The 23,393-nt window shown below is 43.5% G+C and overlaps 1 long non-coding RNA gene across 1 annotated transcript in view, besides 1 other annotated feature; it reads right to left on the bottom strand.

Annotated features, from left to right (window-relative positions):
- Positions 1 to 455: 455 nt before the first annotated feature.
- Positions 456 to 23,393, bottom strand: part of TLE1-DT (TLE1 divergent transcript) — an 87,188-nt gene continuing 64,250 nt past the window's right edge. Inside the window, exon 4 of the long non-coding RNA NR_109772.1 lies at positions 456 to 1,418. This is a non-coding gene — a long non-coding RNA (TLE1 divergent transcript). The remainder of the gene's footprint in view (positions 1,419 to 23,393) is intronic.
- Positions 16,349 to 16,850: an enhancer, noted in NCBI's record as "H3K4me1 hESC enhancer chr9:84375421-84375922 (GRCh37/hg19 assembly coordinates)". NCBI's record gives its function as "activates a minimal SCP1, AML or CMV promoter by ChIP-STARR-seq in primed H9 embryonic stem cells {active_cell/tissue: H9 hESC(primed)}" and the evidence as "EXISTENCE:reporter gene assay evidence [ECO:0000049][PMID:30033119]".

Below are 23,393 nucleotides of genomic sequence, written 5' to 3'. Positions count from 1 at the left end.
ATTTCAAGTCATAATCCCACCACTTTCCCAGCTAGAGACCTTGGGCAATCACTGAGCCACTCTGGGATTCAGTGTCCTCATCTGTAAAATGGGGGTGATCATACCATCTAGTTTTCAGGGTTGTTTTAAGGATTAAATAAATGAATGTACATGAATATCCCTTGAGAAGTATAATGCAGTGATGTTAATGTTTGCTCAGTTCAATAAACATTTCTTTAATAACTAATAGGGGTGGCAAACTCAAAGGACTACAGGTAACAGGTAACGTAAATGCATGCAGCAGGCAGGGCTCCACGTCTCAAGGACTGGGGAAGGTGTGTGTCTGGAGACCTTGAGCTCACAAGCCTGTCTGAGGACAACCTTGGCTCAGCTCCAGCCCACAGTCTCCATCTCAGAAAAAGATCTAGTGTTGCCAGATGTTTTGATTTTTCAAGAAAAGCTAGAAAATATGATAATTTCAATGTGAAATCTTTTTATTTTTAAATGTTGACAACTAATTTTTAAAAATCTCTTTGTGGGTGAAAAAACAATACTCATCTACTAGCTGAATTTGCCCTACAGACCTCCAGTTTTGCCTACTATGTGCCATATACTATGGGAGGCCCTAGGAATGCAAAGAAAAAATATATAGTCCATGGTGGACACGGAGATGCAACTGCCTTGATCCCCTTTTGAGAAAGGATGTGCTGCCCAGCTGCAGGGAGTACTGTCAGCAGATGGCCCTCAGCTGTCAGCCTCTTCAGTTATTGCTTCAGCTGCAGAGCTGCATCACTCATGGTCATGCCCCTTCCTGGTTGGCCCATACCCAATAATGGGTGGTGGCAGGGGTGTAAAGACCTAGCTACCTCACACCAATTCAGAACAACAAAAGGCCATTCTAGCTCCAGAGCTCTTCATGGTGTCAGGTGAGGCAGTTGTCAGGTTTGCATCAGAGCTTCACTTCACCCTAGGTCCACTCCTGCTTCCTTCTCTTCCTTTTCACAGGTGATGATCCAAAGGCCCACATAAATATTTAGTACACTAAACTCCATCTCAGAATCAGCTTCCGGGGGAATCCAGCATGCAGCATGATCCTTGAACTCATGGAACAATTTGTATGATGAGCCAGGTGGACAGATGAATTCAACACTGTGTGAGAAGTGCTAGGATAGACACATAAAGAAAATGCTATAGGAAGGGAGGAGAAGTACACCAATTCAATCAATGAGGCTCAAGTTCTTCCTGGAGTGGATAATCTTGAGATAATTTTTGAAGGTTTTTAAGCCTATAAAGAAGGAAGAACAGCCCAGGCTCAGTGGCTCACGCCTGGGATTTGGCTCAGTGGTGCCAAATCCCAGCACTTTGGCAGTCCAAGATGAGAGGATAACTTCAGGCCAGGAGTTGAAGACCAGCCTAGGCAACATAGTGAGACCTTGTCTCTACAAAAAAAAGAAGAAGAAAGAAGAAAGCGTAAGTAGAAAGGAGAGGAAGAAGAAGAAGGAGGAGGAGGAGGAAAGAAGTAGGGAAGGAGGAGGGGAGGAGGAGGATGGGGAGAAAGAACAGGTATTTCAGGCAAAGCAAACACTGAAAGCAAGCAGTAAATGGACATCCAAGAAACAGAGACCCAATATACATGGAGGATCAGCAGCAGTTTGGTACTAACAGAGCTTAAAATGTTAAGTTGGGAATGGGCCTGAGATGAAGTTGAAGAGAAAAATTTTAACGTGAGAACTTGGACCTTGGCAGGGCGCGATGGCTCACACCTGTAATCCCAGCACCTTGGGAAGCCGAGGTGGGCGGATCACGAGGTCAGGAGATCGAGACCATCCTGGCTAACACGGTGAAACCCCATCTCTACTAAAAATACAAAAAATTAGCTGGGTGTGGTGGCAGGCGCCTGTAGTCCCAGCTACTCAGGAGGCTGAGGCAGGAGAATGACATGAACCTGGGAGGCGGAGCTTGATAAAGTAAACTGAAAACTTTTTCTCCTAGTTTACTAAACATTTATTCTTTCTTTCTTCCAATAAGCTTTATATGTTGGTCCTTCCTGGAGCCTATTTTCATTCAATAGGCATTCCTTGAAAAGTTTCATCTTCTATCATAATCGAAAATCTAGACATGACCATCCAACTCATCTCCATGAAAATGGCCCATAGGAATCACAAATTCAGCATGTCCAAAATCAATTTAATCACCTGACTCTGCTAACGCCTTATCTTTCCAAATTTCCTACCTTAGTGAATGCTAGCACTGTCCACCCAATTGCTCAAGCTAGGGTCCTAAGCATCAGTCTTGGTTCCTTTCACTCCTTTACCCTCCCAATTCAGTCTCTTTTAATGTGTCCTATAAGTAATCTCACTTTAATATAGTTCTGATTACTCCATATCCAGTGCCACTTCCTTAGTTCAGTCAGAGCTCCTTACAGTTGGCTAATTTGCCTCTAGTCTTTTTTTTTTTTTTTTTTTTTACAAAAGAAAGAGGTTTAATGGACTTACAGTTCCATGTGGCTGGGGAGGCCTCACAATCATGGCAGAAGGTGAAAGACATGTCTCACATTTAATTTGCCTCTAGTCTTATCCCCTTTCAAGTCTATTCACCAAATAACTGCAAGAATAATCCCTCCAAAGCACAAATATGATCATGTCAAACTTCAACCTAAAGTCCTCCAGGGGTCTCCATAATCTTTGAGATAAAGTCCAAAGTCCTCAACAAAATTCATCATCTGATACTGATTTCACACTTTCTGCTTCACACACAATATATTACTTTAAATTCCTCTAGTTCTTTATGCCCTCTCTCACTCCAGAACTTGTACCAGCTTGCACACATAGTCTGCAACTTCTTTCCCTGGCTGTCTCTCCTCTCCTTCTTTTTACCTGGTTAACCCCTGTTAGTTGTTCAGGGCTAAATGTAGGTGTTGCTTTCTCTACCACCTTTACCCCATTATAAGCTAAGTGCCTTGTTTATAATTCTGTCATTGCACCTATCAATCTGTACTTCTGTCTCTCTACCACAAGATACAACTGAATGCAGAAAACATATCTATTCATTCCCAAATGTCCAGTGCTTAGCACAATATCACTTCCAAATAAATGAATGAATGAAATATGTTTTATTTCTAAATGCACCCTCTATAGCAATGTGACTAATTGTTTCAAGAGTGAACTCACTAGAGGCCAAGAGACATGTTATAAGAGGCAGTGATGACCTAAACCAGAAAAGCAGGAGTGGAAAAAAAGTAGCTATATGGAGAAATAGTTTAGAGGTAAAATCAGCAGAATTGATTATTGGATATTGGGGCTAAGAGAAAGATTACGGTATGAAATAATTTTTGGATTTCTGACTTGGGCACCAGGATAGTGATATCTTAACTAGGATACAGAATACAAGAGGAGAAGCAGGTTGGATAAAGGGCATAGAGATGATGAGTTTTAATGAGTTTGCTCAGGGCACGTTGAGGATTAAGTGCGTATGGAAAGACCAGGTGGACTTATTTGGACTTTGGCATGTGGAGTGAGGGGAGTAGTAAAAACCATAAATGAAATGGCATGATTAGCTTGTAGTCCCAGCTACTCGGGAGGCTGAGGCAGGAGAATGGTGTGAACCCGGGAGGTGGAGCTTGCAGCAGTGAGCCGAGATCGCGCCACTGCACTCCAGCCTGGGCAACAGAGCGAGACTCAGTCTCAAAAAAAAAAAAAAAAAAGGAAATGGCATGGGGGGCGAGCGCGGTGGCTCACACCTGTAACCCCAGCACTTTGGGAGGCTGAGGCGGGCAGATCACCTGAGGTCAGGAGTTCCAGACCAGCCTGACCAACATGGAGAAACCGTCTCTACTGAAAATACAAAATTAGCTGGGCGTGGTGGCGCATGCCTGTAATCCCAGCTACTCAGGAGGCTGAGGCAGGAGAATCACTTGCACCCGGGAGGAGGAGGATGGGGTGAGCCGAGATAGCACCATTGCACTTCAGCCTAGGCAACAAGAGCAAAATTCCATCTCAAAAAAAAAAAAAAAAAAAAAAGAAAGAAAGAAATGGCATGGGGGAATAGTTGGTGTAAGAAAGAGGTCAAGCACAGTGCCCTGGGAACATCAACTTTGTTACAGGTTGCACTAGATTTCTTCCTTTTGCCCCTCCAGATCCACTGTCTATCCCACCCCAGGAGATTGACCAATATGGACTATGCCAATGGGCTTCCTTGCCCTCTGGTTTTGCTTTGGTTTAGTTCGTGAGAAAGCCTACCAGTAGACAGAAGGAGAGAAGAGAATGACATCCAGTTATTTATTCTCCAGCTCACTCCCTGCTTCATCCCTCTACCAACTACCTCTTCAGGTTCCAGCAATGGCCCTCCCTACCTATCAGGGCCAGGTGTGGTAAGGAAGCCTCGCTGATACTAGCCAGGGGTACTGTCCTAGTCCTTCTTGCTTTTCCTAAGCCATACACACTTTTTAAATAACTCTTTTATTAAAATCTCCCCAATTACGGCCAGGCGTGGTGGCTCACACCTGTAATCCCAGCTCTTTGGGAGGCCGAGGCGGGCGGATAACCTGAGGTCAGGGGTTCAAGACCAGCCTGACCAACATGGAGAAACCCCATCTCTACTAAAAATACAAAATTAGCCAGGCATGGTGGCACATGCCTGTAATCCCAGCTACTCCACAGGCTGAGGCAGAAGAATCACTCGAACCTGGAAGGTGGAGGTTGCGGTGAGCCGATATCCCGCCATTGCACTCCAGCCTGGGCAACAAGAGTGAAACTCTGCCTCAAAAAATAATACATAAATAAATAAATAAATAATCCCCAATTATTCAGCTTGAAAATGCCATCAGTTTCCTAAAGAGACCCTGAGTGATACACAAAGGATGCTAGGAAAGAGAGGCAAACTAATCTGATAAACTAACTCTATCAAGGTGCTTTAGTAGATTACTCTTCCCAAGTAAACAGAGTTATCTGAAAACTAAACAATAACCCTAAAAGTGGAAATTTCAAGCACCAGGACAAAGGAGGAAGTGGTTGCTAGCTAGAATGAATGTAATGGCAAATAACTTGGAAATTCTAAAGGATTAAATTCCAACGAGGCACATTCCAAAGGGCTAAATAACTCTACATATAAGTCACTTCTATGTGCCTATGGTGACATGGTCTCATATTATAATAAACTTTGAAAGAGTTAAATGGCAGGGGTTCAAAATAACTGAGTATAAAATACTGGCATGTGGGGGATGGATCTAAAAGTATAGCAGTCTTGCTAACTTAATGGGATCCAACTAAGGGGTCCAATAGCTGAGCATCAAAATAGCACAAAAGATACGCAAAAATATTAAGAGAAATTCAGCTGTCTGCTCCATTGGAACCACAAATAAGTAATATTAACATATTCGGTTGTATTAAGATAGGATTTTGATATACATGTATATGGCCTCAACATTATTTTGAATACATTCAAGCTGGATAGTAGCCTTTATTGGAGTTCTTCAGATTATAAAATAGGTCACGCTGACTCTGGGCCAGTTCTGTGATATCCCCTTCCCTGTCTGTATCCTCCTGGTCATCTTTACTGCGCCACAATGTATGACTCACTTCTTACATGAGCCCTCTAAACAGATTCCACTTCATTCTAGGCAGCTGTTGTCGTAGCTACAACCCCCTCAGGACCCTTATACTGCCAGCTTGTTTACAGAAATTGGCTAGATTGCAAATTTAATTTGCTTTTCTATGATTTAGCCAATCAACCCTGCAAGAACACAGAAAAAAAAATAGTGGAGGCAACTCAAGAACAATTAAAATGTCAGCCGGGCACAGTGGCTTGTGCCTGTAATCTCGGTGATTCGGGAGGATCGGTTGCGGTCAGGAGTTTGAGGCTGCAGTGAGCTATGATGGTACCAGTGCACTTTAGCCTGGGTGACAAAGTGAGACCCTGTCTCTAAAAAAAATTTTTTTTTAAGGAACAATTAAAATGTCAACGTGTTTAGAAAGAAACCTATTCGTATTACAAATATGAAATACTTTTGATGTTGATATTCAGGTCATTAGAACTTAGTGTCAATCAGAGTTGTTAGAATTTTGCTTTGACTTACCAATGAGGCAAAAAAAAGGCAGCAGACCCGGAGCTTGTTTCCCCTACTTATCTCAAGTCAACAATCTAAAATCAAAGAAAAATCCCGAACTTCGAAATAACTCTAAAGTTCACCTCTTCTAACTTGCTTCTTAATTTGCTAATATCTTCTATGATGTCCCTGATAAAGTCACTTGTTCATGCATTCAACAGACACAAATTGAGCACCTGTTCTTGCCAAGCACCACTTATTTAACTCCAAAGATGAAAGCACTTTGGTCGCTACTTCCAAGAAACTCACACTAAGCCTGTCCTTGAATGGTGACTTCATGACATAAATCATTATGATCAAGTTCTCTTGAATCGAAATTGCCTCTGCACTACTTCGAGAAGAGAAAATTTTGTACTGTCTTCAAATATTTTTAGGGAGTATTAAGTTTTTGTGCTATCCACCCTGACCTCAAGATATTTTGGCAAAACATACCAAGTTCACTCAATTACTCCTCATATGATTTAGCATCTAAAACATTCAGAACCCTGGTCACACTCCTCTAAACACATTCAAGTTTGTCAAAGCCCCTCTTAAAGTGAGGAGATCAAAATAGAAAATCTATCACAGATGTTTTCTAGAATGACCTGGGTACTCACTTTTTTTTTTTTCTTAGATGGAGTTTCACACTTGTTGCCCAGGCTGGAGTGCAATGGCGTGATCTCAGCTCACTGCAACCTCCACCTCCCGGGTTCAAGTGATTCTCCTGCCTCAGCCTCCCGAGTAGCTGGGATTACAGGCACACACCACCACACCTGGCTAATCTTGTGTTTTTAGTGGAGATGGGGTTTCTCCATGTTGGTCAGGCTGGTCTCTAACTCCTGACCTCAGGTGATCTGCCCGCCTCGGCCTCCCAAAGTGCTGGGATTACAGGCGTGAGCCACTGCACCCGGCTGGATACTGACTTTTTCTAATGCAACTACAATTCCTTGGCCTTTTGAAAACACTTGTCTTTGGAGTCAGACCCAAGTTCATATAAATAGATGATTTTGTAATCTTGGACAAGTTGCTTCACGTCTCTGAATCCTACCTTCATCTGTGAAACAGAGATAATCATTATTTCCTTATAGATTTTTTGGTGAGGGTGAAAATATATGACATGTAAAGCCCCTTAGCACAGTACCTGGTACATAGTAGATGCTCAAAAAATTGCTATTGGGCTGGGCACAGTGGCTCACACCCAGCACTTTGGGAGGCTGAGGTGGGCGTATCATTTGAGGTCAGGAGTTCGAGACCAGCCTGGCCAATATGGTGAAACCCCATCTCTACTAAAACTACAAAAATTAGCCAGGCGTAGGGGCACATGCCTGTAGTCGCAGCTACTAGGGAGGCTGAAGCACAAGAATCTCTTGAACCTGGGAGGCAAAGGTTGCAGTGAGCAGAGTTCGCGCCACTGCACTCCAGCCTGGGGGACAGAGAAAGACTTTGTCTCAAAAAAAAAATTGCTAATTGATGCCCTTAATATAATTTTTACTTTCACAGACACAGCAATTGCTTTTTTTTTTTTTTTTTTAAACAGAGTCTCTTTTTGTCACCCAGGCTGGAGTGCAATGGTGCTATCTTGGCTCACTGGAACCTCTGCCTCCTGAGTTCAAGCGATTCTCCTGCCTCAGCCTCCCGAGTAGCTGAGACTACAGGTGCCCGCCACTATGCCCGAGTAATTTTTTTGTATTTTTCAGTAGAGACAGTGTTTCACTATGTTGGCCAGGCTGGTCTCGAACTGCTGATCTCAGATGATCTGTCCACCTCGGCCTCCTAAAGTGCTGGGATTACTGGTGTGAGCCACTGTACCCAGCCTTGTTTTTAATTTTCCACAGAAACTGACACCAAATTCAGTCCCATCCTTCCTTTATTCAACTGATTTTCTCCCTGACATTTCAGACTTCATGTTTACTATTGTAACATTAATGTGTGTTCATCTTATCTTCCCAGCGTATTGAGATTTTCTTTAGATTTATATACTGTTGTGTCACCTGCAGATCAGATACACCTGACCTTCAAGTCTTCATCCTGGTTGCTGGTCATGCTACAGATAGATGGACCAAGGACAGACACCCCCATGACACACCAGGAGACCTTCATCAGGTTTATGCCTGTTCGCAGTTTTCAGCAGTCGTTTAATGAGTTGTGAATAGACGTGCTGCATTGACACCCTACACAAATGCTATTATATTTCCACAAGCACATCCTAAGAGAAAAACCGGAGGATCAATTTGTCTCTGGCATTCCCCATATCTATTTGCCTAGTAACTCTGCTACATAAGAAAATATCTGCTATGATTTAATGAATTTATACTGGCTCTTGATGCTCATTTTCTTTTCTAATTATTTATAAGTCATCTCTCTAATAATTCACAGTATGTCTTTTCCTCCTCCTTCTTCTTTGTATTAGGCAAAATAATAATGGATCCCCAAATATGTCCATATCTTAATGCCAGAGCCTGTGAAATTGTTCTTTCTGTGGCAAAGGGACCTTATGGATGTGATTTTAAGGTTAAGAACTTTGACATAAGGAGAGAAGCCTGAATTATCCAATTTCCCAATCTAATTACATGAGTCTTTTTTTTTTTTTTTTTTTTTTTGAGATGAGAGTCTTGTTCTGTCGCCCAGGCTGGAGTGCAGTGGCTCGATCTCAGCTCACTGCAACCTCCACCTCCCGGGCTTAAGCGAATCTCATGCCTCAGCCTCCCTAGTAGCTGGGATTATAGGGGCCTGCCTGGTTAATTTTTGTAGTTTTTAAAGTAGAGACGGGGTTTTGCTATGTTCGCCAGACTGGTCTTGAGCTCCTGGCCTCAAGTGATCTGCCTGCCTCAGTCCCCCAAAGTGCTGGGATTACAGGCGTGAGCCACTGTGCCCAGTCTAATCACATGAGTCTTAAAAGCAGAGAACCTTTTTCAGCTGTGGTCAGGGGGGTGATAAAGTTCCCTGAGGGAGGTGCAATGTCGCTGGCTTTAGCAGAAGAGGAGGAGGGCCACAAGCCAAGGAAAGTGGGCAGTCTTTGGAAGTCAGAAAAGGCAGAAAACAAATTCTCCTCTACAACCTCCAGAAAGGAATGTAGCTGTGCCAAAAGTTGATTCAGCCCACTGAGACCTGTGTTGGACTTCTGGTCTTCAGAACTGTAAAATAATAAATCTGTGTTGTTTGAAGCCCCAAAAGTGCTAACTTGTTATAGCAGCCATAGGAAACTAATACCTTCTCATCATCTTTCTCCTGCTCTTTTGTGAATTCATACTTTGAGTTAACATAGATTTTTTTTTCAATTTCACTTTTGGCCAATTGGGGCTTAATTTGGCCATGACATTGGAGACCAGGATAAGTCTGGTGAATAGCAGGAAGTCATCAGTTAATCTCTCAATAACAAATCATTCTTGTCTCTCCATTTATGTAGGTTACAATGACATGCCTGTGTAGCAAAACTTTGTTGGAATTGTAATCACTATGACAACATAACTGTATTTCTTTTTTGACACAAGATCTCACTTGGTTATTCAGACTGAAGTGGCGTGAATATGGCTCACTGCAGCTTCAACCACATGGGCTTAAGTGATCCTCCCACCTCAGCCTTCCAAGTAGCTGGGACTACAGATGCACCATCACACCTGGCTAATTTTTTGCTTGTTTGTAAAGAGGAAGTCTCACTTTTTGCCCAGGCTAGTCTTGAACTCCTGGGCTCAAATAATCCTCCTGCCTCAGTCTCCCAAAGTGCTGGGATTACAACTATATTTCTTTTTTAAAAAAACATCTAAAAATTCATCTAGTCTTTACTCCCTTGCACTTCTGATGTAAATCAACAAAATTTGGTGTGGTTTTACTAAATATATTCTATCCTTACAACCTGTACAATAATGGTATTGTGGAAGCTACACTTGTGAGCCAGAGCCCAACTCTGTCACTTAACAGTTTTGTGACTTTCAATAGTTATTTCTTTCTGCACCTCAGTTTTCATACCTAGAAAAAAAAGGACATATGATGAGATAATCTCTAAAGTCTCTTTCTTCCTCCAAATTGCCGTGTTTTATCAGAGTATAGACCAAAAAAAAAAAATTGTCCCTGTTTCTTTGCCAAAAGGATAAACCAATTAAAATACATTACTTTATTCCTTTGTTCATGCCAGTCCATTTACATGAAATGCACTCTCCTTCTCCTTTATTTTCTTTGACCACTTATTTTTCCAGCTAGTAAAATGCTCCTCTGCTTTCAAGTCCCAAATCAAATGCCACTTCTCATGAAAACTTCCTTGATCACAGCATCAGGAGTTAATCTTGCTCTCTTCTGAAATACTACAGCACTCATTTCCTGTAGGCTTATCACACACTGAGTTATTCTCCTTTGTTGCCATGTCTTGCCACTCCAACCAGACTGCAGCCTTCTGGAGATGGGACCATGTTCCTTGTCTGCCAGTCATAAGTGTTGAGTAAATATCCTGGCCGGGCACAGTGGCTCACGCCTGTAATCCCAGTACTTTGGGAGGCCTAGGTGGGTGGATCACTTGAGGTCAGGAGTTCAAGACCAGCCTGGCCAACACGGTGAAACCCTGTCTCTGCTAAAAATACAAAAATTAGCCAGGCGTGGTGGCACACGCCTGTAATCCCAGCTACTCAGGAGGCTGAGGCAGGAGAATCGCTTGAACCCAGGAAGCGGGGGTTGCAGTGAGCTGTGATTGTGCCACTGCACTCCATCCTGGGTGACAGAGTGAGACTCAGTCTCAAAACAAACAAACAAAAATCCTGCCTTTTCTCCTGTTATAATGGAAGCAGTGTCCTACTTCTCCTATTTAAAGCCCATCCTCTTATAGTCTTCTGATTCCTCCCCTCCTGCCTCTCACAGACTCCATGACATCCATCAGCTCCTATCTCTCCTTTTCCTTTAACTTTTCCAGCTTCAGCCCATCAGCTCAACTGTCTCCCATTTGATTAAAAAAAAAAAAAAAATTCCTCCAAAGGCCCTATATCCAACTCCAGCCCCATCCCCAGATCTCCCACTGTCACATGTCCTGGAGGAGTGGAGGTGTGTACATCCACCCCCTCTACTTCACCACCGCCTCCTTGTGCTTCTGCTCACTGCCGTCTGCCTTCCACCCCATCACTCCACAGAACTTCCCCCAAGGCTACCAATGCCCCCTACTCACTATAGACAGTGGACACTATACTTATCCTCTAGGCATCACTTTCTGCTATTGACCAAGAGCTCCTTCCCGAAACCCTTTCTTCCATGGCCCTCTGTGGCAGGATGCAGCTCTTTCTGCCTGGATGCTCCTTCAGTCTCCAGAGCCTGCTCTCCTTCTGTCATTCACCTCCTGCACACTTACCCTCCTTAGAGTTCTATCCTGGGCCTTCTCCTGCATGGTCTACAGGTTTCCCTGTACCCTTTCTATCCTCAAAGCGCCCATCGTCACGCAAAAGAGCAAATTAGACTAGCAAGGCCTTTGCTCTCCAGAAGTTTATATCCTGATGTACAAACATAGACAACAGACAAGCAAACAAATAAATCCTAAGATAATTTCAGACAGTGATAATTGCAATGAAGGAAATAATTAACTGGAGGTGGATATTTTAGGAAGGGGGGTGAGAGAAGGCTTATCTGAGGAGGTGACACAGAAGCTGAAAAAAAAATACCTCTGGTTACTAAAAGAGCCAGTTCTGAGATGAGCCAAGGAAAAGCATTCCAGGCAAAGGGAATTTACAAGTGAGAAGGTCCTGAGATGGAGAAGATTCTGTCCTGTTTCAGAGAGACAATAGGAGGTCATGGCATTTGATGAGGTGGCAGCAGGATGCTGGAGTCCAATGCAAAGGGCCTTGTAGGCTGAGATGAGGAATTTGGATTTTCGTCTAAGTGCACAGAACAGCTATGGGTGATTGCAGCAGCCCCTCCTGCAAATTTCCTACAGAAGCCAAGTGTTTTTTAAAATGCAGATCTGTTCTTATCACTGCCCTGAGGAAATCTCCCCAGTAGCTTCCTATGGCCCTTAGGAAGGTCTGAACCCTTGAAATGACCTCCAAGGGCAATCATGCCTGCTGTGATCACTGCCTATATCCAGGCCTGTCCTTGCCACAACCCCCTTGCCCTTCACGTGCTAACCACACTCTAGTAGCTTTAGGTCCCTGGACACATTGGACTCACCGTAAACTCCAGACAGTGTTGTCCAAGAGAAATATACTGTGAGCCGCATATATAATTTTAAGCTTTCTAGTAGTCACATTATGCAAATAGAAAGAAACAGGTGAAACTAGTTTTTTGTTTGTTTGTTTGCTTGTTTTTGAGACAGGGACTCACTCTGTTGCCTAGGCTGGAGTTCAGTGGTGCCATCTCAGCTCACTGCAACCTCTGCCTCCTGGGCTCAAGCAGTCTTCCCAGCTCAGCCTCCCAAGTAGCTGGGATTACAGGCATGTGCCACCATGCCCGGCTAATTTTTGTATTTTTTTGTAGAGCCCTATTAATGGGATTTGTACTGTTCACCTGGTTGAAGGGATCACCTGGTTGAAGAGCAAAGACAATAGAGATAGGACCTCTTGGCAGTGTCAGGAGACATAAGGTGCATCTTTCGTTGTTGTTTTATTGACAGATGCATTGTTACAAAATTCAAAAGGTACAGATGTGAAGAGTAAGTCTTTCTTCATCCCAATTTCTAAGCCATCCCCTTTCTGGAGACTACAAATATTACTTGTTTCTTATATTTACTTCTGTTCTCTTCTAATGGAAAAAACAGAATCATCTTACAGACTAACATTTTTTAGTTTTCTCAATAATGCGAAGAATGAAAGAACCAACAACCCTTCCTTAGGAGGCACGCTTTAGACTATTATCTGCTCTCGGGCGTGTGCTACAGAATTAATGGATTTCTGTACTTTCATTTAAATGGGGAAGCAATAGAATTGGGAATTGAAATTTTTTTTTCTTGCTATGGGAATTGAAATGTTTTTATCCAAACAATTATCCTTAGTTGAGGTCTTTTCCACTGAAATATTACTAATCACTAAATGGAGTAGACAATTTTTTTCTCTTTTTTTGAGACGGAGATTCGTTCTTGTTGCCCAGGTTTGAGTGCTATGGCACGGTCTTGGCTCACTGCAACCTCCAGTTCCCGGGTTCAAGTGATTCTCCTGCCTCAGCCTCCCAAGTAGCTGGGATTACAGGTACCCACCACTATGGCTGGCTAATTTTTTTGTATTTTTAGTAGAGACGGGGTTTCACCATGTTGGCCAGGCTGGTCTTGAACTCCTGACCTTGGGTGATCCGCCCGCCTCAGCCTCCCAAAGTGCTGGGATTACAGGCATGAGCCACTGCACCCGGCTGGAGTAGTCAAATCTTTAGACTTACGTATCACTGGCCATGTAAGTAGCATTAAATGCCCAAGTCCATCCTTTTACATGGTGTAAGTGTTAGGTATTATTCTGTCTATGTCTGAGACGGAAATTTTCAATACAAAATGCCTTGACCAGTCAGGCACGGTGGCTCACACCTATAATCCCAGCACTTTGGGAGGCCAAGGTGGGAGGGTCATTTGAGCCCAGGAGTTTGAGACCAGCCTGGGCAACACAGGGAGACCCCATCTCTACAAAATATAAAAAATAAAAAACAAACAAAAAAACCCCAAAATGCTTTGACCAAGGCTGAAAGGTCATGAAGGGAACACTTTTAGGCATATGATTATTGATTTTTATTTATATTCCATTCCAGTCTCCACAGCCCCAACCCCTTGCTTGTATCTCTCTGGGCCTAGCAAAGCCTCAGCAGACCCTACAAAAGAGAAGTGGAGCCAGAAACCAAAAGATTCTCAGGGCCCATATGCCCTGACCCTTCCTGCCCCCTCTTCCCCACCTTTGGCCACCCGAGTAGCTGGAGAAGAGGCTCTAAAAGAACCCTCAATTGGTTCTGGCCCCTTTTATCATCACAAGAATGCGGGCCTGAAAAAAAAAATGTCTGTTAAAGGTACATTTTAAAAATTGGTAAAAATCAGGCCAGGCGCAGTGGCTCACGCCTGTAATCCCAGCACTTTGGGAAGCTGAGGCAGGTGGATCACCTGAGGTCAGGAGTTTGAGACCAGCCTGGCCAACGTGGCAAAACCCGTCTCTATTAAGAACACAAAAATTAGCCAGGTGTGGTGGTGGGTGCCTATAGTCCCAGCTATTCAGGAGGTTGAGGCAGGAGAGTAGCTTGAACCCAGGTGCCAGAGGTTGCAGTGAGCCGAGATCGTGCCACTTCACTCCAGGCTGGGCAAAAGAGTGAAACTCCGTTTCAAAAAACTAAATAAATTGGTCAAAATCTTTCAGATTTTGCTGTTTGAATGGCATGTGTGTGTGTGTGTGTGTGTGTGTGCGTGTGTGACAGGGTCTTGCTCTGTTGCCCAGGCTGGAGTGAGGTAGCCCAATCTTGGCTCATTGCAACCTCTGCCTCCTGGGTTCAAGCGATTCTCATGCCTCAGCCTCCCCAGTAGCTGGAACCACAGGCGCTTACCACCACACTCGGCTAATTTTTGTATTTTTAGTAGAGACAGCATTTCACTATGTTGGGCACGCTGGTCTTGAACTCCTGGGCTCAAGCAGTCCGCCTGCCTCGGCCTCCCAAAGTGCTGGGATTACAGGCCTTGAACCACAATGCCTGACCTTGAATGGCACATTTTTATAGACTGTTGTTGTTGTTGTTGTTTCGAGACAGAGTTTCACTCTTGTTACCCAGGCTGGAGTGCAATGGCACGACCTCGGCTCACTGCAACCTCCGCCTCCTGGGTTCAAGCAATTCTCCTGCCTCAGCCTCCCGAGTAACTGGGATTACAGGCGTGTGCCACCACACCCAACTAATTTTTGTATTTTTAGTAGAGACAGGGTTTCACTGTGTTGGCCAGGCTGGTCTTAAACTCCTGACCTCAGGTGATCCGCCCCCCTTGGCCTCCCAAAATACTGGGATTAGAGGCATGAGCCACCGCGCCTGGCCATTGTTGCTGTTGAGACGGAGTTTCACTCTGTCGCCCAGGCTGGAGTGCAGTGGCGCGATCTCGGCTCACTGCACACTCTGCCTCCTGGGTTCACGCCATTCTCCTGCCTCAGCCTCCCGAGTAGCTGGGACTACAGGTGCCCGCCACCACACCCAGCTAATGTTTTTGTATTTTTAGTAGAGACGGGGTTTCACCGAGTTAGCCAGGATGGTCTCCATCTCCTGACCTCGTGATCCGCCTGCCTCAGCCTCCCAGAGTGCTGGGATTACAGGTGTGAGCCACTGCGCCCGGCCTTTTATAGGCTTTTTACAAAATTAATTTAGCAATATGAATAAGGAATCTCAAAAATGCCCATTCAAGGGACTGGCCTAGGAATACCACTTCTTTGAATATATCTTAAAGAAATAACCCAAACATGGAAAAGTTTCAAGCACAAAGATGTTTATCACAGTGTTATTTACAATAGCAAATAATTGTCATATGCTGAAAAGGTAAAGTAATGGCAATACAATAATTTGAACTAATATTACTAAGATTATATGTTAATTTATAACAAAGCTGATGTCAGAATTAATACAAAACAAAAAGATAAATACATAGAAAGTACAGCATAGAAACTGGGATGAAGAAAAACTTACTATTCACTTCTGTACCTTTTGTATTTTGTAACAAGGACACAGTATAAGATTAGAAGAAAATATAAACAAAAAGTCCCCTGGGTCATTAGGCAATGGGTAAACTTCTGCCTTTACTGCATCAAATACATAAATACATTAAATAGTGTGTTTGAGGATAAGTCATGTGGGAAAAATGAAGCAGAGAAAGAGGGGGGAAGCACTGGAGGGGTGGGGTTCAAAATTTTTGTTTGTTTGTTTGTTTGAGACAGAGTTTCGCTCTTGTTGCCCAGGCTGGAATGCAATGGCACGATCTCGGCTTACCGCAAACTCCGCCTCCTGAGTTCAAGCGATTCTTTTGCCTCAGCCTCCCACATAGCTGGGGTTACAGACATGCGCCACCACGCCCAGCTAATTTTGTATTTTTAGTAGAGACAGGGTTTCTCCATGTTGGTCAGGCTGGTCTCAAACTCCCGACCTCAGGTGATCCGCCCACTTCAGCCTCCCAAAGTGCCGGGATTACAGGCGTGAGCCATCGTGCCCAGCCTAGGGTTTACAGTTTTATACAGAGTGGTCAGGAAGGCATCACTGCCAACATGAGATTTGAGAGAAGACTTGAGCCAAGGGAGGCAGGCAGCCACTGGGCATCTGGGGAAAAGCTTCCCAAGCAGTGGGAAAGGAAGTGCAAAGGTCCCGAGGCAGGAGTAGGCCTGGTGTGTTCCAGGAGCAAGGAGGGGTCAGTGGGGCTGCAGTGGTGGGAGCACAGTGGGAGCCGTGGAGACGCTGGAGCGGCACAGGGGCTAGTGCAGGGCCTGCTGGTAAGGGGGCCTTTGGCAGTCACTCTGAGAGGGAGGGGAGCCATTTAGCAGGTGGGAAGAAGAGGAGTCACAGGATCAGGCTCAGGCTTGAGCAGCCTCCCTCTGGTTGTAGGTTGAGAATGGACAGAGGGGTTGGCAGGAGCTGGGAGCTGTGGCTGTCATCTAGGCAGCTGAGAAATGGTGACTAGACCAGGCACTAAGAATAGAGGGAGTAAAAGCAACTGGACTCGATATATTTTGAAGGTAGGGCCTCTGGTGCTGTTAACAAGTCACCAACATAAATTGCATAAAACTCAAACATGGGCCGGTGCAGTGGCTCATGCCTGCACTCCCAGCACTTTGGGAGGCCAAGGCGGGTGGATCACCTGAGGTCAGGGATTCACGACCAGCCTGGCCAACGTGGTGAAACCCCATCCCTACTAAAACTACAAAAAATTAGGCATGATGGCAGGCGCCTGTAATCTCAGCTACTTGGAGGCTGGGGCAGGAGAATCGCTTGAACCTGGTAGGCGGAGGCTACAGTGAGCCAAGATCGCGCCATTGCACTCCAGCCTGGGCAACAAGAGCGAAACTCTGTCAAAAAAAAAAAAAAAAAGAAAAAAGAACAAAACAAAACAAAACAAAAACCCTCAAATATACTTTCCTCTTTCCTAAAACTTCTTTGGAAACTTAGCCTATGATGGAGTGCTGATGGAATAATGTGTGACCGTCTTTAAGGGAAAGACATTCTCATGGACCTCTGATGTCATCCCTAAGTGATTTTTATTAAAATGTTATTTTTAATATATGTAAACTTAAAACTAGATACAAAGAATGTTTTCATATAGACTTCATGCCACAATAAAACCAAAACAAACTTATAGGTGAACAAATGTAGGAAAGTCATACGATTCAAATGAATACTTTTAATTTAATGGAACAAATACAGAATGGTCACTCCCCTCAACGGCATGAAAGTGGTGCTCCCTGCCCAGGCTCTCCTGAGTTCAGCCTGCTGGCCTCATGCTTTGCAGTGACTCAATGCTTCCACTGCTTGTCTCTATTTACGTTATGCAGAACCTTCCTTTGTACATCCTGTGATGAGGTCATCGGACCTTCACTTGGTGAGAACACAACATTCACATGTCTGTGTGTTTTGTTTTTTTAAAAATTATTTACAATGATTTTTCAATGACAAAGAAACTGTCACTCCCTGTCACCAAGAAAATCTTAAACACAGATAAAAATGCAGGCCCTGAAAGTATGTGGAAGCTCTCCGTTAAGTTGATCATCCAAATGAACCAAAATATGTTGATCTTCACTGATTATTAGCATCAAAATGAAAATACAAAATTGAATTCTCACAGAGAACTCAAGGCCCCTTCAGAATACGACTGAAGACTTTCAAGGATCTTCAGACTTTAATTTGAGAAATATAAATGAAGTGAAAAAGGTCCTTGATTAAAAGTCAAAAAAATCTGGCTAAAAATCGCAGCCCTGACATTTGTAGCGAGTGGGCCTGGGATGTTTACCTCATAGATCTGTTAGAAAGATTAACTATGATCTGATAAAAATTATTTCTGAAATCATCTTATAACATGTTAGAAGATGCCTTGGCCAAGTATCCTGGAAAACAGTATGAGAGTAAGTGATACGTGCGTGACAGTGGGCGCTGCTGTCCCAGGGAAGCAGAGGAAAGAAAAGGGGAAAGGCCTATTGTTCAGTCATCATTATGGATAAGAATATTCCAACCTTCCCTTGCCCCCATTAGGGGGTTCAGATTTTGAATACAATTAGAAAAATACTAGTTCGCAATTTTGCATTTAAATTACATACAGAATTATTCTGTTTTTAAAATAAAGCCAACCCTCACCCCAAATTTTTATTATAAATAGAAAACATAAAATCTTTTATTCCTAGAAGCCATTTTGGGATTTTATTGTAGTATAGTCTCACGCCCTGATTACGGTCATGTGTACATGAAGTATATTTGCTGAAACTCGTTGCCTGATTTGAAATTCAAAACTTTAGAAATGCAAACATGCAAACATGATTGCAAATATGCAAAGTACAAGGTCTTATACGAATGGCCCTAATCAAGGCAAAGTCCTTTAAAATAAATACATAAAACAGAGTTTAGAATAGGCTAAGAAGCAGTAACACATGCAAAGTAGCTAATTGCTCTTGGTTCACCATGAATATTAATCTTATTTAACCTGTAAAAGATAACTACAGGGAAAATACCAAAAGGCCTGCTCCATGTCCCATCATTTTTTCCACCCAGCCATTTTGCAGTTTTCACTTCTCAATTTCAGGCTCTGTGCCTATTCTTAGACATTCAATAATACCCAGTATAAGCCACTGCATGTTAGGCATGAATTAATTAACAATAATATCCAGGTTGCTGGCAACATACTACCCGCAAGTAGGGTCAAGCAAGATGGGTGGTGGAGAGAAGGTGTGTTCTGTGGTCTTATGTCAGATACCACTGAGTTGAGTAAATGGACATTTGGTGCATTTCATGCTGCCTATGGGTCTTTGGACATTTTACCCACCATCACAGCCCTTGCAGAGATAGCCACCCATGCAGAAAGAGATAGGACCCTTTGAGAGCGTGCTGACTGACTCATCCAGGTAAGGAGGCCACAGTGAGCACAGCCCGTCCAGTGAGCTAGCAGAGGCAAGTCTCCAACATGACAGTCCTCCAGTAAAGGGTGGACATCTCAGCTCAGACCAAATCAAGCAAGAAAAAAACAACAGTGAGCATGCCAAAGAGAATCCAATCCAAGTAAGCCTAGAAAACCCCCTTAGCTGCGTCAATCCGCAGTGGTCACTGCTTCCTTAGGGAGGAGAAACTGAGGTGAATATAAGAACTCATTGAAGTCCCGTGCGCTATGGTACATATAAATATGAGTGTAACTGCTGTGTATTTAGTTTGCTTTAGAGTGTGGGTCCAGCCATTCTCAATATCTTCTGTCATCTTTGGAGTTTCGAGTTAAAAACAAACAAATGAAAGAATCTTATAGTTTTTGCCATATAGATGCATCTGATTAGGTTTTTGATTTCTGACTTTTACCAAGACTCTGATTATTACCAAGATGGCAAAAATCCCTAAGAAACATTTCTCAAGTCCATATGCAAGTATGTTATGTATGTTTAGTAAATGACTGCTGCTTGCTTTGATTAGAACCCATCCTTCCTTCCAAGAAAGCAGCTCCCTGTTTGGAATTGCTCCTTTCCGCCCTCTAAACATGTGGTTCAGGGGATGCGGGGAGTGTGGCCATGTTCTTACATGACCCCACCTCCACTAACTAGAGTTGCCTGGACCTGGCTGGGGCCCCTGCCTGAAGCCAGCACAGTCAGAGCCTTCCCCAAGACTTTTCTATCTAGAATTAAGAAACAAAATCAGGTTCTCGTTGGTGTTTTAACCCACAGTATGTAAGACTCAGATCTACAATGAGAGAGAAAGCCCTGGATACCAGGAGGGATAGAGCTGCAGACAGAGAGAGAAGGAATCCAGGGAGCACTTGGAGTCCTGGTTCCAGTTTTATTTCATTTTATTGTTAAATTTCTGGCTAGTTCCTTGTCTTTCTCATAGATTGACCTCTTAACCCCGCCTTCAGTTACTTAAAATATCCCAATATTTTCCCAATAAATTCCTCCTTTATTCTTAAACAAATTCAATTTGGGTTTCAGTTGCCAGCAACCCAGGGGATCCTGAATAATAAAACAATATGTAGTTATTGTCTCACTCCTCAAAGGATAAACATGAAAATGTACAACTGCTAAAGGACTAGGTGGTGATTCCAGCTACAACTTTATTTTAGCTAACATGGATAGGTGGCTTACCACAAGTTTAGCCTCAAGGGTTAGGCTGATATCAAAGCAAAAAAAAAAAAAAAACACTCGATTTCCACATTGTTGGATTTCCACACTAATGAAAGGGCAATCGCTGTAGGAGATAGTGGGAAACAGTAAGGATTTTCAAAGAGGGCTTCTTTCTTTCATTTTTTTTTATTATTATATTTTTAAAAATGCTCTGCTTCTGAACCCTTTGCTCCACAGGCAGTACAGCTGGGGAAGCCATGGGCGATCTCCCCCTCACTCTACCAGCAAGGCCCGAAATGACTTGCCTCCCGGTCATTGCCCCTAACTAAACAGGGCCCAAGGCTGGGAGAAATCAAAGAAGTTATTTTTACAAAGGAGGGTTTTTTTGCATGCTGTGCAGGTCCATTAGGAACTGTCTGGCTGGAAGCTGAACCGTCTGAAGCGACTGCAGCAGGAAGAAATGGCAATCAAGATCCCTCTGCCTAACTCTTCCCTCTGCTTTCCCTTCACTCCTGCCACCTTCACCAAACCCACATCCAAATGGCAGCAGAGACATCAGCACCTGTCTGGTTCAGAAGAGCCTTTGAATCTCCCCTAGGAGGGCACAGTTGGGAAGCAAAAAGTGTTTGCTTGTTTGTTTGGTTTTGCTTTCTTGAAGGAAACCTTAAGATAACACAGCACTGCCCTCAACATCTCCCACCATGTCGGTGATTGGGAGATGAAAAGGACAGACAGCACCACCCAAGGTGGAAAAGACAAATTAAGACTTGATCAACTGAGCAATCCCCTGCTGAGGCCCCCAACTTGGCCAGACCTCATACCAACACAGAGACAATCCCACAATGGACAGGCCAGCTCTGCTGCTGCCTGTGCAGTCAATTATTATTTTAAAGAAAATCTGAAATCTTCACCTCCCACACACATCTCCCAAACAATAGTCCTCCCCTCTGCTTCATCATGGAGGAAGTCTAAAAGGGTTGCAATTAGTGATTCCTCTCCCTTCCTCCTATATGTGGGCATTAGCTTCAGTCCGAAGACTGGCCTGATGTTAGCTAAATGAAATCTAGAGGGTTAGATTTTCAGCTGTTGTGAGTGTGCGTCCCTTCACAAAGACACATTAAGAACTACAGAAAGAAATGCCCTGAGATGAACGGAATTCATGCGTGGGTTTGCTCTCCTGTACCTTGGCAGAAAGGGCTATGCCTACGCAAAGAGAGTAGCTTCACTGAAAGTTGCACAAGTTAGGCTAATGTTTCAATGTGTCATTGAGTTAGTAGAGTGAGGATTATTTATCTTTTAATCAGTAAAAATACTTTTGCTGAGTATGAAAACCAATGAAAGTGTTTTATTGCCTGAATTGTATTCAGATCCGTTTATTACTTTTCATTGTTTTTAAGCCCTTAATCAAAGACTTCACAGCACATGGACCGAGTCCTGTGGATTTGTTTTGCAAATGGGTTTTCGCATGTGTTAACTGTGACTTCTGGTAAAGAAAACCAGAGCTAGACAGTGGATAAAGTGGTAAAAACAGATTTTATTCAGGAACTATTGCAATCAGGAAAAAGAGACCCCAGTGTAGAACTGAGCTCTATTGCAAATAAGACAAGAAGGGGTAGGGACTTATAGCCAAGGAGCAGGTTTGAAGAGTGGGGAGAGATTGGTGGATGGAAAATTATTAAGAGGAGACATCAAGGGTGAGGGTAGATTCTTGGTGCAAACAGGGCAGAGTGATCAGATATTGAAGGTAGGGGATGAGGAATTTGTTTAGATATGGAAGAATCTGATATCAAAGCTGTGAGATTCTCTTTCACTTAACTGGACTCTTGCTAAAACTGAGCAATGCAGGCCCAACAAAATGTACACTGAAGCCCAAGGTTGAGCCATGTTGAGAAGAGGGCTTAGAGCAGTCTCACTAGAGCTGGGTCAAGGAGAGAGTTTTTGTCATATTTACCATCCAGAATTTACAGGGCAGATGTATACTGTTCCCCTGAAAGCAGTCTTCTGAGGAGGCAACACTAACGCTGGCGTCACTTAAAGTATTCCTGGATCCTCCTTAAACACTGCCTACAGAAAAAGCGAACCAGATCTGGGTTTGAATTCTTGCTTTACCACTCATTTACAATCTAATCTGATAATTAATTTCTCAGCCTGTTCTTTCATCCATGAAATGGGGGTACTAATACCTACCTTTCAGGGTTGTTGAGAGGGTTAGAGAAGATAGCTGATGTGAAACACTGGTTAACTTTGGAAACACACAAAGCCTAAATAAATAGCTATTCTAAAGATCGCCTTTAGAGCTGGCGATGTTCTTCTGAATGTCCCTAGTGGTTACAGACTTGGTTTTCTGGATTTTTGAAATGGCCTAAATTTATCAAAGCCCATCCCTACGGGAAAGATATCAAACTGAGTAATACTGTTTTTGGTCAGAAACAAAATTTACCTCTTAACATTATGAGGCTGCTTTTGTCATATTACTTGGAAACTGGTTCTGAAGAAATGGCCAAAAAGAAATTCCTAAGTGGTTGCCATGGCCTTCCCTGGTGGTTGTTGGCTTCCACTCCAAGTCTGCACAGCTCTGTCTACCACTGTCCCCTGCCCATGTATAGTCTCAGACCCAACACCCATCTCAACCTAGGCTGCCTGGCTTCTTGTCCATTCAGAGGCTTAATGTTTAGTCACCTTCCCAGACCTGGTTTCTAGTAACACATTTACAAGAGCTGGACTCCTGAATCAGCCCCTGAATCATTCTATTACCATACAGACTGCATGCCCAAAAATCATACTTTTTTGTTTGTTTGTTTTGTTTTTGAGACAGAGTCTCATTCTGTTTTCCAGGTTGGAGTGCAGTGGTACAACCTCAGCTGACTGCATCCTCTACCTCCTGGGTTCAAGCGATTCTCCTGCCTCAGCCTCCCAAGTAGCTGGTTCTACAGGCATGCACTACCACACCCAGATAATTTTGTATTCTTAGTAGAGACAGGGTTTTACCACGTTGGCCAGGCTGGTCTCAAACTCCTGGCCTCAAGTAATCCACCTGCCTCAGCCTCCCAAAGTTGTGGAGGTGTGGCCGGCCATAGATGTTAACTTCTTTTTCTTTTTTTTTTTTTTTTTTTTTTGAGATGGAGTCTTGCTCTGTCACCCAG

The sequence above is a fragment of the Homo sapiens genome, chromosome 9 (genome assembly GCF_000001405.40).
Source record: "Homo sapiens chromosome 9, GRCh38.p14 Primary Assembly".
NCBI classification, from domain to species: domain Eukaryota; kingdom Metazoa; phylum Chordata; class Mammalia; order Primates; family Hominidae; genus Homo; species Homo sapiens.
The sequence above is the reverse complement of the archived record's forward strand: the minus strand, read 5'-3'. Positions and strand labels throughout refer to the sequence as shown.